A 16,370-nucleotide genomic window follows, 5' to 3' on the forward strand; every position below is an offset into this window, starting at 1 on the left:
GTTATCCTCTATTTCACTGATATAGAAACTGAGGCACAGAAAACTTAAAGAACTTTCCCCAAACCACACAGCTTAAAAATGGCAGAGACCCAATTTGAACCAAGCTATGGAAGAAATATGTAACCAAGTTCCTAAGGTTCCTTCTCATTTTAAGATTCTACCTTTTTACAAAACTAAAAGTACTGTGTTTTGGCTGGGGGCGATGGCTCACTCCTGTAATCCCAGCACCTTGGAAGGCCGAGGCAGGCGGATCACCTGAGGTCTGGAGTTCAAGACCAGCCTGGCCAACATGGTGAAACCCGGTCTCTACTAAAAATATAAAAATTAGCCAGCCATGGTGACGCACGCCTGTAATCCCAGCTACTCGAGAGACTGGGGCAGGAGAATCACTTGAGCCTGGGAGGCGGAAGTTGCAGTGACCCAAGATGGCGCCACTATACTCCAGCCTGGGTGACAGAGTGAGACTACGTCTCAAAAAAATAAAATAAAATAAAATAAAATTACTGTGTTTTACCCAGATCTCATTTTAACAGAAGTTTGTTGCTGCAGAGGGGTTATAGCTGAGGAGTCATTTTTGTAGAAAGCTGTCTCTGGCCATGCTTCCCTCAGCCCCCATTCTGAGCTAGCCACCCTCTCAGTGCTCTGAGAATAGTGGGCATTTTTCTGTCTTTGTACTTATATTATTACACTCTATTATAACTGTTTATTTACCTGTCTATGTCTCACTTGTGTTTTATTGGTCTTGGGACCTAACACAGGGCTGTCCATGACAGAGCTCTGTAACTGTGTGTGGGGGACACGTAAATGAAAGAGGGAATGGTAGCACACAATTTACCAAAGTTACAAAATCAGAAAGGGACTTGTGTGTGGCCAGTGCCAGGCAGTAGCCCCCGAGGAGAGCAGCACTGCACTGCCATCCTATAGAAACTGTTTGAATGCAATATAAGAAAATCATAGTGCGATATGATTTATATTTCAAAATGCTGTGTCTCTGGGTTTGGGGTATTCTATAAATTGACTTGGAGAGGTGCAGAGGTGGAAGAGAGGCGGAGGAGAACCAGCCTCTTAGATCCCCTCACCCCAACTGCACTCTGCTGTCTGTCAGGTGGGGAAGGGGCTCATATTTGTTGTACATCACAGCCAGGTGTCGGCTACTGGCCAACGCATTTTCCATATATTAACCAATGTGATATTCCCAACAACCCTAGGATGTATGGAAACCAGAGCTGGCCCAAATGTGCTTTTAACACACATGAATTAAACTATGCCTTCTGGTTTGTTAAATAAAAAAGAAAAAGAAAAAAGTGTGTATATATATATATATATATTTTTTTTTAAGCCTTAAAACTATTTTTACTGTGTGTGTGCGTGTGTGTGTGTGTGTGTGTGTGTGTGTTTTCTCTCTTTTTTTTTCTTTTATTTTAAGTTCTGGGATACATGTGCAGAACGTGCAGGTTTGTTACACATGTGCCATGGTGGTTTGCTGCACCTATCAACCCATCATCTAGGTTTTAAGCACCGCATTCATTAGGTACTTGTCCTAATGTTCTCCTTCCCCTTGCCCCCCACCCGCCGACAGGCCGCGGTGTGTGATGTTCCCCTCCTTGTGTCCATGTGTTCTCATTGTTCAACTCCCACCTATGAGTGAGAATGTGTGGTGTTTGGTTTTCTGTTCCTGTGTTAGTTTGCTGAGAATGATGGTTTCCAGCTTCATCCATGTCCCTACAAAGGACATGAACTCATTCTTTTTATGGCTGCATAGTATTCCATGGTGTATACGTGCCACATTTTCTTTATCCAGTCTATCATTGATGGGCATTTGGGTTGGTTCCAAGTCTTTGCTATTGTAAATAGTGCTGCAATAAACATATGTTTATTTTTAATTCAATGGGTCCATCTACTTCATCCATACTCAAATAAACAATGGAGAGGCTGGAGGTGGTGGCTGTAATCCCAGCACTTTGGGAGGCCAAGGTGGGAGGATCACTTGAGCCCAAAAGTTTGAGACCAGACAGGGCAATACAGTGAGACCACATCTCTAAAAATATTTTTTAATTAGCCAGGTGTGGTGGCAGGCTTGTTGTCCCAGCTACGTGTGGGGCCAAGGTGGGAGGATTGCTTGAGCCAGGGAGGTTGAGACTGCAGTGAGCTGTGATCATGCCACTTCACTCCAGCCTGGGTGACAAGAGTGAGACCCTGTCTCAAATAAATAAATAGCTAAATAAATAAATAAATGGTGGGATGAGGGCTATAGATTTTGGAGTTGCTAAGAGTCTATAGAGGAATGTGCCAAACTCTGTATACTAGATTTACTTTACCTCATGGTTGATAGAAAGTGCTATGGACTGAGTTTGTGTCCCCCGCCAAAATTTATACACTGAAACCCTAATCCCTAGTGTGATAGTATTTGGATGTGGGACTTGGGAGAGGTGATTTGGTCATGAGGGTGGGGCCCTCATAATGAGATTAGTGCCCTTATAACAAAAGACAGGAGAGAGGTTGCTTCCCCCCCACCCCACCCCCACTTTCTGCCATGTGAGGGCACAGCAAGAAGCTGTCCACTTGCAAACCAGAAAGACAGCTTTCACCAGCAACCAAATCAGCCTCACACCTTGATCTTGGACTTCCCAGCCTTCAGAACTGTATGGGATAAATTTCTGTTATTTAAGCGTTCTAGTCTATAGTGTTTGGTTGGTTGGTTTTGATACAGGGTCTCACTTTGTTGCTGAGGCTGGAGTGCAGTGGCACAATCAGAGCTCACTGCAGACCTCCTGGGCACAAGCAGTCCTCCCACCTCAGCCTCCTGAGTAGCTTGGACCACAGGCGCGCACCACCACACCCAGCTAATAGTCTATGGTATTTTTGTTATAGCAGTTCAAGCTAAGGCATAGGGATTTTAAGGTAATTACAGCTATAGGCCTGAGAAAGATGTAACTCCACCACGTTATTACTCCCGTTTTATTGATGAGAAAACAAAGGCTTAAAGAGTTTACATAACTTGCATTCAAATCAGGTCCAAAGCCTCTTTCTTACCTACCACCACACAGTCTGAATTCCCATTTGTGGGGTGGTTGTTGTTGTAGGGGCCTCGTAGCTATTCTGTCTCTGCTAGTGCCATTTATTTAGCAAATATTTATTAACAATTGACAAGTCCTGTGTAGGTGCGAGGGATACATACATGAAAAGAAACATTTTCCTCCCTAAAGGAGCTTAACAATCTGGTGGTGAGAAGGAAATGTACATAATACAATAGGCTAGCAAGAGGGAAGTATAGTCAGTTCTTGATTGGGCAGAGTTTAAGGGAGACTAGGAAAAGGTTTGTCACAGTTAAAACGAAACTAGAAAAAACAGAATTTGAAAACAAAAAATTAACCTAAGCTTAGTGAGAATTACCCCCAATATTAACACTAAGGTTTCCCATCCTGTACATGTTATTTGAAAGTAAAAATAAGATACAATGTTGAGGAACACAAAGCATCACTTTCATTGTCTGATGAAAAATCGCCCTGAGGTATCTATCTGTTTAATGGTTTCTATTGTCTGTTCCTTAGCTGTGCCCTCCCTTTCTAACATTGGAACAAAGCCTAGGCAACATCAGTTTGTCTCTGAACAAACTGCATTCTTCACTTTTACTCCAGTAGACAGTCGAGGTCAGCAGTTTTTCAGCCGTGTTGAGCCCTAAGAATTCCCTCCGAGGGGTTTCAGGGGCTGTTGTATGGGAAGGGGGAAGTGGGCTGGGTCTTGGCTCCTCTTCAACTTAGCTGCCTTCTTTTTCAAATTGGAGCAAGATATGCTTTGAATAAAGGGTTCCACAGCTAAAAAGAGTTTGAAAATAGTTCTGTGAGTCATCTTGTTTTTGCTGGCAAACTCTCTCTCCCTCCCTGGCCCAGCCCCCATTCTCCATCACACACGTACGATTGCTTCTTCCACTTCTCTTCTCAATGTCACCAAACTGTGGTTCACAGTGGCTCCAAAGCTTACTTATCCACTTGTGCACCGTCAGGTCCCTCAAATTTCTTGTCATTCCTCTGAGCTGGAAAGGTTTAAGGATGGCCCAACTACACGTGTGAGGAGATGGAAAAAACAATTTACTATAACTGCAGAGGGTGGATCAAGGGGGGATGATACAGGAGAGGGCTCGCCCTGTTCAGAAGAAACACTAGGATCATCTGTCTGGTGCAGTGGTGGGGTAGAGTTTGAGAGGTCCTAGAACCATGCAAAGGTAGGTGGTTACTAAGAAGGGTGTGTCCTGATATAGGGTTTTTATCTTACTGAGTGGGATATGCAAGTTTAAGACTATGGAGAAAAGAGAACTACCAGTGACCTAGGCTCTTCCATTATCCTTAGTTTCTCCATTGTATTAATGCCAAAGTGGTGTCAGGTCCACCAAATGGTTAACCTACCCAGGACATCCACATATTTTGGTCCGGTCAGGCTTCTGATTACCCACTGGCTTTTGATGCCAGAAAATAATCTAGTGTGAAATATAACAATTTTAGAATTAGAGTATTATTAGTTCCCATGAGATTCAAAACAAAGATCTCAGCTTTGGGCTGAATGTTCTTCATTTCTCCTGCATCCTTTCCTATTAATTATTTTTAAAGAAAATCTTCAGGCCTAGCATGGCAGCTCACGTCTGTAGTCCCAGCTACGTGGGAGGCTGAGGAGGGAGGATAGCTTGAGCCCAGGAGTTCAAGGTTTCAGCAAGCTGTGATCTTGCCCCAGTGTACTTCAGCCTGGATAACAGAGTGAGCTTCTGTCTTTAATTAAAAAAAAAAAAAGAAAAAAAAAAGAAAGAAAGAAACTGCCAGGCACAGTGGTTCATGCCTAATCCCAGCACTTTGGGAGGCCGAGGCAGGTGGATCACGAGGTCAGGAGATCAAGGATGGAGAACATACTGGCTAACACAGTGAAACCCTGTCTCTACTAAAAATACAAAAAATTAGCCGGGTATGGTGGCACACGCTTGTAGTCCCAGCTACTCAGGAGGCTGAGGCAGAAGAATCACTTGAACCCGGGAGGCGGAGGTTGTAGTGAGCCGAAGTGCTGCTACTGCACTCCAGCCTGGGCGTCAGAGCGAGACTCCATCTCAAATAATAATAATTTAAAAAAAACTAAACAAAACTAAATAAAACAACGAATCTTCATCATAGAAGAAGTAAAAAGTCGATAATACCTCAGCTACCATTAAGGAACAGACCTGGCCCAGGGATGAAGTAATAGCTGGCCAGGGCAGTGAAAGTTCATTGAACCAACGCTGTTCGCCATCCATTGGATGAGTAACAAACAGATGTTGCAAAAAGGCAAGAAGACAAGTCTGATTGGCAAGGGGCAGGAATCTTCTCCAACTTAATGGAGAAGCAGTGTAACATATGTTGGTTAAAATGAAGTTCCAAACCATGAACACCTTCTTACAGGTAGATGTTATAGATTTGTAATCATTAAAAACTTCCCCACAGAAGCACTAGTGTTTAACTACGTTAATCCATCCTCAGTATTGATGGTTTTGGCTTCACGATAAGCATGCCTGTATCTTCTGGTAACAGAACACATTTATATTTTTTCAAAACCATCCTACCTACCTTCTCAGCCCATGAAATTTGCAGAAGGCTAGGGAAGGTGAACATTCCCTGGTCCCAGGGGCATGTTGCTCACCCAGGCCATGTCTGTCTTTACCATAGTGATTGATTCAAAGACAGTGACTCAGGCTGGTCCAATTAAAGCTCCCTCTGGGAATTTTGTTGGAATTACCAAAAAAAAAAAGGACATTTCCTCCTCTAGGAATCCAGAAGTTAAGGATCATAGAAGCTTAAAGTTGCCAGCTTTGATATAACAGGAAAAAGTCTGCTTGAAAATAAAGCCAACCCACTAGAAAACAGAACCAAGAAATGGAGATAGTCCTCTTGGCACAGTTTCTGCCCTGGATCCAGCTGAGCCTAAAGCCAGGTGCCATAGAATTTTCATTATATAAGCCAATAATTCTCCATTTTTCTACATTTTCCTTATTTCCTTCCTTCTATTCTTCTTCTTTTTTTTGTTTGTTTCGAGACAAAGTCTTGCTCTGTCACCCAGGCTGGAGTGAAGTGGCGCAATCTCAGTTCACTGCAAACTTTGCCTCCAGGGTTCAAGCTATTCTCCTGCCTCCTCAGGGCTCCCGAGTAGCTACGATTACAGGCGCTGCCACTATGTCCGGCTGATTTTTGTATTTTTAGTAGAGATGGGGTTTCACCATGTTAGCCAGGATGGTCTCAAACTCCTGACCTCATGATCCACCCACCTTGGCCTCCCAAAGTGCTGGGATTACAGGCATGAGCCACCGCGCCTGGCCCTTGCTTCTATTCTTTCTGTGTGTGTGTGTGTGTGTGTGTGTGTGTGTGTGTGCGCGCGCGCACGCGTGCATGTGCACACACACAGTGTGATTGAGATAGCCATCATTTAGGGGTTGGTTAAATAAATTGTATTATATCCAAATAATGAACTATATTAGGGATTGTTTAAATAAATTGTATTATATCCAAATAATGAAATATGTTCGGGATTGGCTAAATAAATTGTATTATATCCAAATAATATAATATATTAGAGATTGGCTAAATGAATTGTATTGTATCCAAATAATGAAATACATGCAACAATTTAAAAGACACACATAAGGCTGCACACGAATCATTGTATTACTTGTCATAGTAAAACTAGTGAAAATAACTGAGTGTCATTATTGGAAGCCTGGATAAATAAAATGTATTGTATATAAACATTTAAATAAGCAACTGTTAAGACATATTCAGTTATATTGATTGACATCAAAAGATCTCCATTGCATATTGTTAATATTAAAAAGCAAGTTATATGCTATTGGTAAGAATGTAAATTAGTACATCATTATGGAAAACAATGTGGCGGTTCTTCAAAAAAATAAAAATAGAACTACCATATGACCCAGCAATCCCACCATTAGGTATATATCCAAAGGAAATGAAATCAGTTTGTCAAAGAAATATTTGCATTTCCATGTTCACTGCAGCATTACTCACATTAGCCAAGATATGGAAGCAACTTATGTCCATGAACAGATGAATAAAGAAAATATTGTATACAGTATATACACAATGGAATATCATTCATCAACCTGGAAGACATCATGTTAAATGAAATAAGCCAGATACAGAAAGGCAAATACCACATGATCTCACTGACATGTGGAATCTCAAAAATCAAACTCACTGAGACAGAGAGAAAAATGTAATTAACAGGGTCTGGCAGGGTGGGACAAAAGAGGATATTGGTCAAAGGATAAAAAATTTCAGTTAGAAGAAATGAACTCAAGCGTTCACTTGGACAATACAGTGATTACAGTTAATAACAATGTATTCTTACTTGAAAATTGCTACAAGAGTAGATTTTAAGTGTTCTCACCACAAAAAAATAATAAGCATGTGAGGCAATGCATATGTTAATTAGCTTGATTGAATCATTCTGTAATGTATACATATATTCAAGCATCAGATTGTACACCATAAATACATTCAATTTTTGTCAATTTAAAAATAAATAAATCCTTTTTTTTTTTTTTTGAGACGGAGTCTTGCTCTGTTGCCCAGGCTGGAGTGCAGTGGCGTGATCTCGGTTCACTGCAAGCTCCGCCTCCCGGATTCACGCCATTCTCCTTCCTCAGCCTCCCGAGTAGCTGGGACTACAGGTGCCCGCCACCACGCCATGCTAATTTTTTATATTTTTAGTAGAGACGGGGTTTCACCGTGTTAGCCAGGATGGTCTCGATCTCCTGACCTCATGATCCGCCCGCCTCGGCCTCCCAAAGTGCTGGGATTACAGCGTGAGCCACCATGCCCGGCATAAATACTTTTTTTAAACAAAAAATTAAAAGCAGGTTAGAAAACAAGTTACAAAAATACTTTCATTTTATGAAATCATGTAACTTTGTGTGTATGAATCTAATAAACTTCAGAAAGCTAGTTAAACATCACCACTCTGGGATTTTTACTACCTTATTCTTTTCTGTATTGCTTTAATTGTATACGTATATGTAATAAAGAGAGAAACTGAACATTTTCTGTTCTTTATTTATTTATTTTTTTTTTAGATGGAGTCTCCCTCTGTCACCCAGGCTGGAGTGCAGTGACGCGATCTCAGCTCACTACAACCTCTGCCTCCCAGGTTCAAGCAATTCTCTGCCTCAACCTCCTGAGTAGCTGGGATTACGGGTGCCTGCCACCATGCCCAGCTAATGTTTTGTATTTTTAGTAGAGGTGGCGTTTCACCATCTTGGCCAGGCTGGTCTTGAACTCCTGACCTCATGATCCACCTGTCTCAGCCTCCCAAAGTGCTGAGATTACAGGCGTGAGCCACTGTGCCAGGCCAATTTTCTCTTTTTTAGGAAGAAAGAAAAAGAGAGAGAAAGGAAGAAAGGAAGGGAGGGAGACTTTACAGAGTTTCGAAAGAATGGCCATGTCTGTAGTCTGAAATTTGCCTAAATTATTTAGGAAAAGATTCAAGGAGGGTGTGGTGCCATCTCATGAATCTTAAATAGGTATTTTGCAGGGGGCACAGATGAGAAGAGGGCATCCAGAAAGAGGAAATAACAAAAGTGAAGATTCAGAAAAGTGAGAAGTCACAATGTCTTAAGGAATAAGTTATGTGATATAGCTAAATAAGTGTCATTAAATTAACAATTTAATCTTAAGAACTAAAGCAGAGTCAGTTAAAGTCAATGTTAACATAAGGAATTTCACATCAGGATTAGATACGGAATGTCCAAGGGAAAAGAAAAATACCGTATCTCCAGGACACTGATCTCTACACCCAATTGCTTAGCCACAAGTCTCCTTTGAGGTCTAATAAATGGAACCAAATTAACATGACCAAAGCAAAACTTTCAATTTCCTCTCCAAAATTGTTCCTTTTCTGTGATGCTTAATTTTATGCGTCGATGTGACTGGGCCACGGAGGGCCCAGATATTTGGTCAAACATTATGGGTGTTTCTGTGAGGGTGTCTTTGGATGAGATGAACATTTTAATTCACAGAATGAGTAAAGCTGGTTGCCCTCCCCAGTATGAGTGAGCCTCATCCAGTCAGTTGACAGCCTGATAAGAACAGAAAGGCTGACCCTCTTCTGAGTAAGAGGGAATTCCTCCTGCCTGACTGCCTTCAAACTGGGACACCAGTTTTTTTCCTGCCTTGGGCTTGAGCTGAAACATTGGCTCTCCCTGGGTCTTAAGGCCGCCAGCCTTAGGATTGAGACTATGCCACTGGCTGTCCTGGGTCTCCAGCTTGCCAACTCACCCTGCAGATCTTGGGATTTACAGACTCCATAATCACTCAACCAAGTCCTTATCATAAATTCTCTGTCTCTCTCTTCATTTGATTTGTTCTATTTTTCTGGAGAACCCTGACTAACACATCCTTTTTCTCCAGTGACAACACTAGACTACAAGCCTTGGTACGAAACCCTGGGGTCACCTTTACTCTTCCTTCTCTCATGTGTAAGATCCAGTCAAAAGCAAATCATGTCAGCTTTACCTTTAAAATGTTTCCAGAATCTGACCACCACTTATCTTGTCTTCTGCTACCGCCATGGCCTAAACTTACGCCATCTCTCACGTGGACCAATGCAATGTGTCCTGACTGGTCTCCCTGATACTACCCCTGCCCCTATACAGTCAATTTTCAGCACAGCAGCCTCAGTGACTCTTCTCATACATATCAGATCATGTCCGTCCTCTGCTCAAAGCTTACTAATGGTTCCCATCTCATTCAGGGTAAAATCCAAAGTCCTTACTGTGGTGTACAAGTTCCTTCAGGATCTGGCTGTCCCTTCTCCCTCCTTTGCTCCATCTCCTATAATTCCTCCTTCACTCTTCCTTAAAAGGCAAGGACCTTTAAAACTTTGTTTGTTTTGTTTTGTTTTTTGTTTTTTGAGACAGAGTTTCGCTCTTGTTGCCCAGGCTGGAGTGCAATGGCGCGATCTTGGCTCACTGCAACCTCTGCCTCCCAGGTTCAAGCGATTCTCCTGCCTCAGCCTCCCGAGTAGCTGGAATTATAGTCATGCGCCACCACTCCCAGCTAATTTTTTTTTTGTATTTTTAGTAGAGACAGGGTTTCTCCATGTTGGTCAGGCTGGTCTTGAACTCCTGACCTCAGGTGACCTGCCTGCCTCGGCCTCCCAAAGTGCTGGGATCACAGGCGTGAGCCACTGCACTTGGCCTAAAAAATTTTTAATATGCCCGGAACTCCCTTTGAAATGCTCTGTTCCCAGATGTCTGCAGGGCCCATGCCTCATTTCCTTCAGATGTGGTCCTCAGAGACCTTCTTGGCCAACATCTCCCTACATTCCCTTACCCTTCTTTGAGCCCCTTTTCACCACCAGTCATAAGTGCATCTTATTTTATTTATCTTCCAACTCTCTTTCTAGAACCTGAGCCCATGAAAGCAGACAATTGCATTGTTTCTCAATTTCCTACACATGGAGCAGAGGCTGGTGTAAGGGCTGGGGGCTGGGTAGGGGCACTTCATACCTGCTTGCTGATGAATGAATTAAGTTTTTCTTTATACACTGAAGGAAGCAAAATCCTTTTGATGTAATAATAGTTAACATTTACTGATCATGTCCTATTTATTGGGCACAATGCCCAGCTTGTACTTAACTTATCTCATTTGGTTCCCACAACAACCTAGGGGGCACACAACACTTTCTGAATGAGGAAACTGAGGCAGAGATAATTTTACTAACGTCCCACAGGTGACAAGAGTTGGAGCCTAGCTTCCAGCTCAGGCTGACTCCAGGCACCATGCATAACTGCTAGGTCTCCCAATTAGAATGCATTTCTCACATATTTATTAAGAGACACTAAATAAGTGGCAAGAATTGAAAAGACTTATGCCCTAAATTTACTTCTCAGTGATAAAAATATTTCCTACTATCAAGTATCTCTACCAGTGTTATGACTAAACAGCACAGCAGAGAGTAAACAGACAGTGGAAAGCTTGGTGGACTCTTCTGCAGTTCACATTTTGACCTTCGAAACAATTTAGTTGAGAACAACAAGGTAACAGCAAAGACTTATTTGAAATGACTTCGTGGGTTACGCATATGTTATAAATTTGGTAGGAGCTTTATAAGCCCATTTGAAGATGCAGTCCGTCCTTTTTACCTTTGTAAATTTATTCATTTAGGTATCCAACAAATACTTACTATATACTCACAGGTGTCACGCACAATTTTGGGCATTGGAGATATAGAAATTTCCTGTCTCTCTACCTGTAATGAAATGGGGCTTATATATCATAGTGATTTGGATCTAGACTCTGCAGTCAGTAACTAGGGTTCAAATCCCCAGCCCTGTTAATACAAACTGCCTGACCTCAGGTAAGTTATATAACTTCCGTAAATCTTAGTTTCTTTGTTTATAACATGGAGGCAATATTGATTATAAGATCTACCACACCGGTTTATTTGGAGGATTATGTGAGCTTGCCTGATACACGAACAAATAGTAAGAATTCAGAAATAAACTACCTGTGAGGATGAGGCCAGACTTATAAAATCTTTGTGATACTGAATGTGGTTTTGTGTATATGATGAACTTAGAGCTTTGTAGATTTCTTTTCCTCCAAATGTCAAGAGCTTGTTAAAATTTTAGTGTTTTAAAAAAATGCAAGTTTAGTTAACATTTTCAGCCAGCATGCTAAACCTTGTGATGAAGTCATAGGGTCTTATACTCACGATTTGATAACATAATAGAACTATTAAAAGAAGTCTGATTCATTAATTTGTTGATTCTTCCTTCTGGGGCTATCTGGGAAAGCTGTCCGTTTGCAGACAGCTCCTTTGGCTATCTTTCTCTGCCTTTCAAACCCTCAAAACATAGTTTTTAAGTGCTTCATAATGAGTCCATGAGATTGTTGATTTTGTTTATAACATGTCAGAAGTAACCATTTTTATACTACTAATAGACTCATTATAAAATACAGGGATATCTCAGGTGGTTTCTCAATGGACTTTATATTCCTGTTTATTCACAGGCCCTTCTGCTTTCATGAACATTAGGCCAGGAGTTAGGAGACATAAATTCTAAAATCCTAGGCCTGATACTAATTAATTGTTTGATCTTGACTTTACTGGTGCTTTGTTATCTTGACTATGTATATCAGAAGGTTAATAGCTATATCATCTTTCAGCTCCAGAATTCTCTTATTCCTCATAAATAAAGCTAATCAACAAGAAAGTTATTCCACTTCGTGTATTAAAGTGAATTTGGGTATACAGGGACCTATCAAGGAAAAGATAAGAAAAGGGACTCTCATGTTTTGAGTTGGAAACACTGCTACAGGCCTCTACAACAAAATAGTAACAAGGATTAAAGTAATAACATACATACATCCTTTAAAAGTATAAGGATATGTGATACATTCATCTCCTTGAAAAATGTTTGAATAACTTTGGGTATTAAATACTATTGAAAATGCAGATGCTACTATATCTTATACCATTTACAACAAGATGAAAACTGAGGGCTTCCTTGTTGTTGTTCAGTGACTCTAACCAACCTCACAGCAGTTAAAAATCAATATCAGATTTGAGATTCAGTCCAGACCAACACTTCAGAGGAGGCTGGTCTTCAGATGAGGACTTGTCTTCTGGCACATAACTTTCTGAGGACTTGGGATTCTTTGAGATAAAAAGGATACTTTGAGTCTGAACTCCTGATGAAACAGAATTAATCCAGGACAACCGGCTATATTTTTTCAGATTGAAAGGGACCATTGAGTAAGTGCTTTGGTGTCAACCTCCTTTTGATAAAGAAAATACGTCCTAACATTTTGTTCTGCCCCGGCAACTTGGGCTCCCTTGCATAGAAGAATGAGTCTGAGGTGCTTTCTAACGGGAAGTTGAAGACAGGTTGTCAGAACTGTGGCAAGACCAGTAGTATTCTGAATCCAGGAGGCTCCCAATTACTGTCCTCTATGAGCCATGCGAATTAACCCGGGCCCATTGCATTGCCTGAGAAGAAATAAGGAATAAGTAAAATAAGTCACTATATTTTTGCATGGCTGCAACCTTTCATTTTGATATTCTGTGGAATGTGAGAACAGTCTGAATATGTTTGGTGCACATAGTTGATTCCCTGAGTGTAATGAAATAGGGAGCTAAACAAGATGAGATATTTTAAGAATCCTCATCACCACGAAGGAGTGATTTTTACAGAAAATAGGCACTCAATTTCTGAATATTGTAACTACGTAAAATAGAATGAGTGAGTTTAAAGCATTACTCTCTTGAAAATTTAGTTAGTCAAAGTCCTAAATTTTCTTTACCTCAATATAGAAATATATATTTACACAACTGAGTAGTTATTTATAGAAATCAACTAAAAGCGAACATTCCTGACAAGAAGGAGATTTTTAAAAAACAAAAAACCAGACTGGGCAACAATAGTGAGAGACCCATCTCTACAAAAAAATTGTAAAAATTATCCAGGCATGGCATGTGTCTGTAGAGCCAGCTACTTGGGAGGCTGAGGCTGAAGGAGCTCTTGAGCCGAAGAGTTGGAGATTGCAGTAAGCTATGGTTGCACCACTGTACTCCAGCCTGAGTGACAGAGAGAGATCCTATCTCTGAAAAAGAAAAAAATAATTAGTCATTCTAATGGATGTGTAGCAATGGCTAATGAGGTTGCACATCTTTTTATGTGCTTATTTCCCATTTGTCTGCCCTCTTTGGTGAAGTATCTGTTCATGTCTTTTGCTCACTTTCTTATCTGATTGTTTGTAAATTACTGTTGTGCTCTGAGAATTCTTTATGTATTTTAGGTACAAGTCATTTGTCAGATATGTGTTTTGCAAATATCTTCTCCCAATTTATAATTTGTCTTTTCATCCTCGTAAGAGAATCTTTCCCAGAGCAAAGGTTTTTAATGTTGATGAAGTCTAATTTATTCGTTTTTCTTTTTATGGATTGCACTTTTGGCATCAAGTTTAAGAACTTTGGTAGGGCATGGTGGCTCACACCTTTAATCCTAGTACTTTGGGAAGCTGAGGTGGGAAGAGGGGTTGAAGTCAGTTCAACACCAGTCTGGGCAACAAGTGAGACCCTGTCGCTACAAAAAAAGAAAAAAAAGATTTTAAGGACTTTGCCAGCCGGGCGCCGTGGCTCACGCCTGTAATCCCAGCACTTTGGGAGGCCAAGGCAGGCAGATCACGAGGCCAAGAGATCAAGACCATCCTGGCCAACATGGTGAAACCCTGTCTCTACTAAAAATACAAAAAAAATTAGCTGGACGTGATGGTGCATGCCTGTAGACCCAGCTACTCAGGAGGCTGAGGCAGGAGAATCACTTGAACCCAGGAGGCAGAGGTTGCAGTGAGATCACGCCACTGCACTCCAGCCTGGCAACAGAGCGAGACTCCATCTCAAAAAAAAAAAAAAAGAAACTTTGCCTAGGTCTAAATTCCAATGATATTCTCAAAGTTTTATAGTTTTACATTTTACATTTAAGTCTGTGATACATTTTGGGTTAATTTTTGTGTAAGATGTGTGAGCTTTAGGTCGAGGCTTTATTTATTTATTTATTGGCCTATGGATATCGAATTAGTTCAGTCTATTTTTTGGAAAAGCTATCCTTCATTCGCTGAATTGTTTTTGTACCTTTGTCAAAAATCAGTTGAGTATTTTTGTGTGGATCCATTTCTGGGTTCCCTATTCTGTTCCATTGATTAATGCGTCTATTCCTCCACTAATACTCCACAGTCTTGATTACTGCAGCTATATAAGTCTTGAAATCAAGTAGACTGTTTCCTCCCAATTCATTCTTTTTCAAAATTTTTAGCTACTCAAGTTCGTTTGCCTTTCATACACGTTTTAGAATAATCTTAACTATATCTACAAAAAAATCTTACTGATATTTTCATAGGAATTGCACTAAGCCTGTATATCAATTTGGAAGAATTCACATCTTTATTATGTTGAGCCTTCTAATCTATGAGCCCCTGATGTCTCTCCATTTATTCAGATCATGTTTAGTTTTCATTGGATCCTTGTAATTTTTACCATACTGCTTCTGTACACATTTTGTTAGATTTATACATTGAGATTTATAGATTTGCAGCCTCTCCAGGTAGTCTGGTAAAAGAAATTTAATACAGAAGAGTCACTACAAAGGGAGAACCTCAAAGCGAAACAGAGAGTGATGAGGCAACCCTGAGATTAGTAACATCAGGAAGTTATTAACACCCTTAGGACTGGAGGGACCAAGAGGGGAGTTGGCATTACTAGAGTGTAAGACCCAGGGTCACTGGTGGGAACTGGACTTATGACAGAGGCTGAAAGGGAACTGGGACGCCAGGGAAAAGTGATCTAGTGGGGACCTGGAACCCTGGAAGAGACAGCCAATGCTGGAGGCAGAAAAGAGGGCAGGGGAAATAGCTTGGTTTCTCTCTTTCTGCCATCCCACTAGTCTTCTAGTAGTGCCTCCCATTGATCAAAACTAACTGATTGGATAGGGAGTCTTAGAAATCTAAATCTAATTTGCAGCAGGAAGACAGAGAACTGACCTGAGAGCAAATAGGAAACAAGTTTCAAAATTAAATCAAGGAGAAGAAAAAAGCAAAAAACCCAACAACAGTAAACTTGTAACATTAAAGCAATGGAATCTACAGGTAAATATCTTCTGTAACCTTCCTAACCCCCTGCCCCAAAGACCCTGGGGCCAGACAGTTCTATAAAATTAAACAGATAATCCTAGTGTTATACAAATTATTTTGTATGATAACTAGATAACTAGAAAAGCAGAAAACCTACCAATTTCATTTTATGGAGCTAGTATAACTTTGAAAGTAAGAGTAGAAGGGGAGAGTACAAGAAAAGATCATCATAAAACAGTCATATCTCATTTATGAATATCTTAAGCAAAATAAGAATAAATTGAATTAAACACACATATGTATTGCATATCTATATATCACTATTAAATGGAGCTTTCCCATAATGCAAGGATGTTTCAACATCATAAAACACATAAATGTAATCCAACATTATCAGAATGAAAGAGAAAAACAATTCTCAATAGACACACACACACAAATACACTGGGATAAAATTAAATATTTTAGATTTTTTAAAGTCTTAGTAAATTATGAATAGAAGGGAATTTCCTTATCTTATTTCTAGACTCACTATCTAGTATTTTTACCTCAACCCAACTAAATCAGGGTATAATCGTCACCATTTCACTGCCAAATTTATTGGGCAATTATTATTTTAGTCTCTTAGCAGCATTTGACATGGAAAATCTCTCCCTTCTTTCTGTAATACTTTCTTCCCTGGGGTTTTGTGACTCTCCATGCCCTTGGTTT

Source organism: Homo sapiens, chromosome 4 (assembly GCF_000001405.40).
Source record: "Homo sapiens chromosome 4, GRCh38.p14 Primary Assembly".
Taxonomy (NCBI): Eukaryota; Metazoa; Chordata; class Mammalia; order Primates; family Hominidae; genus Homo; species Homo sapiens.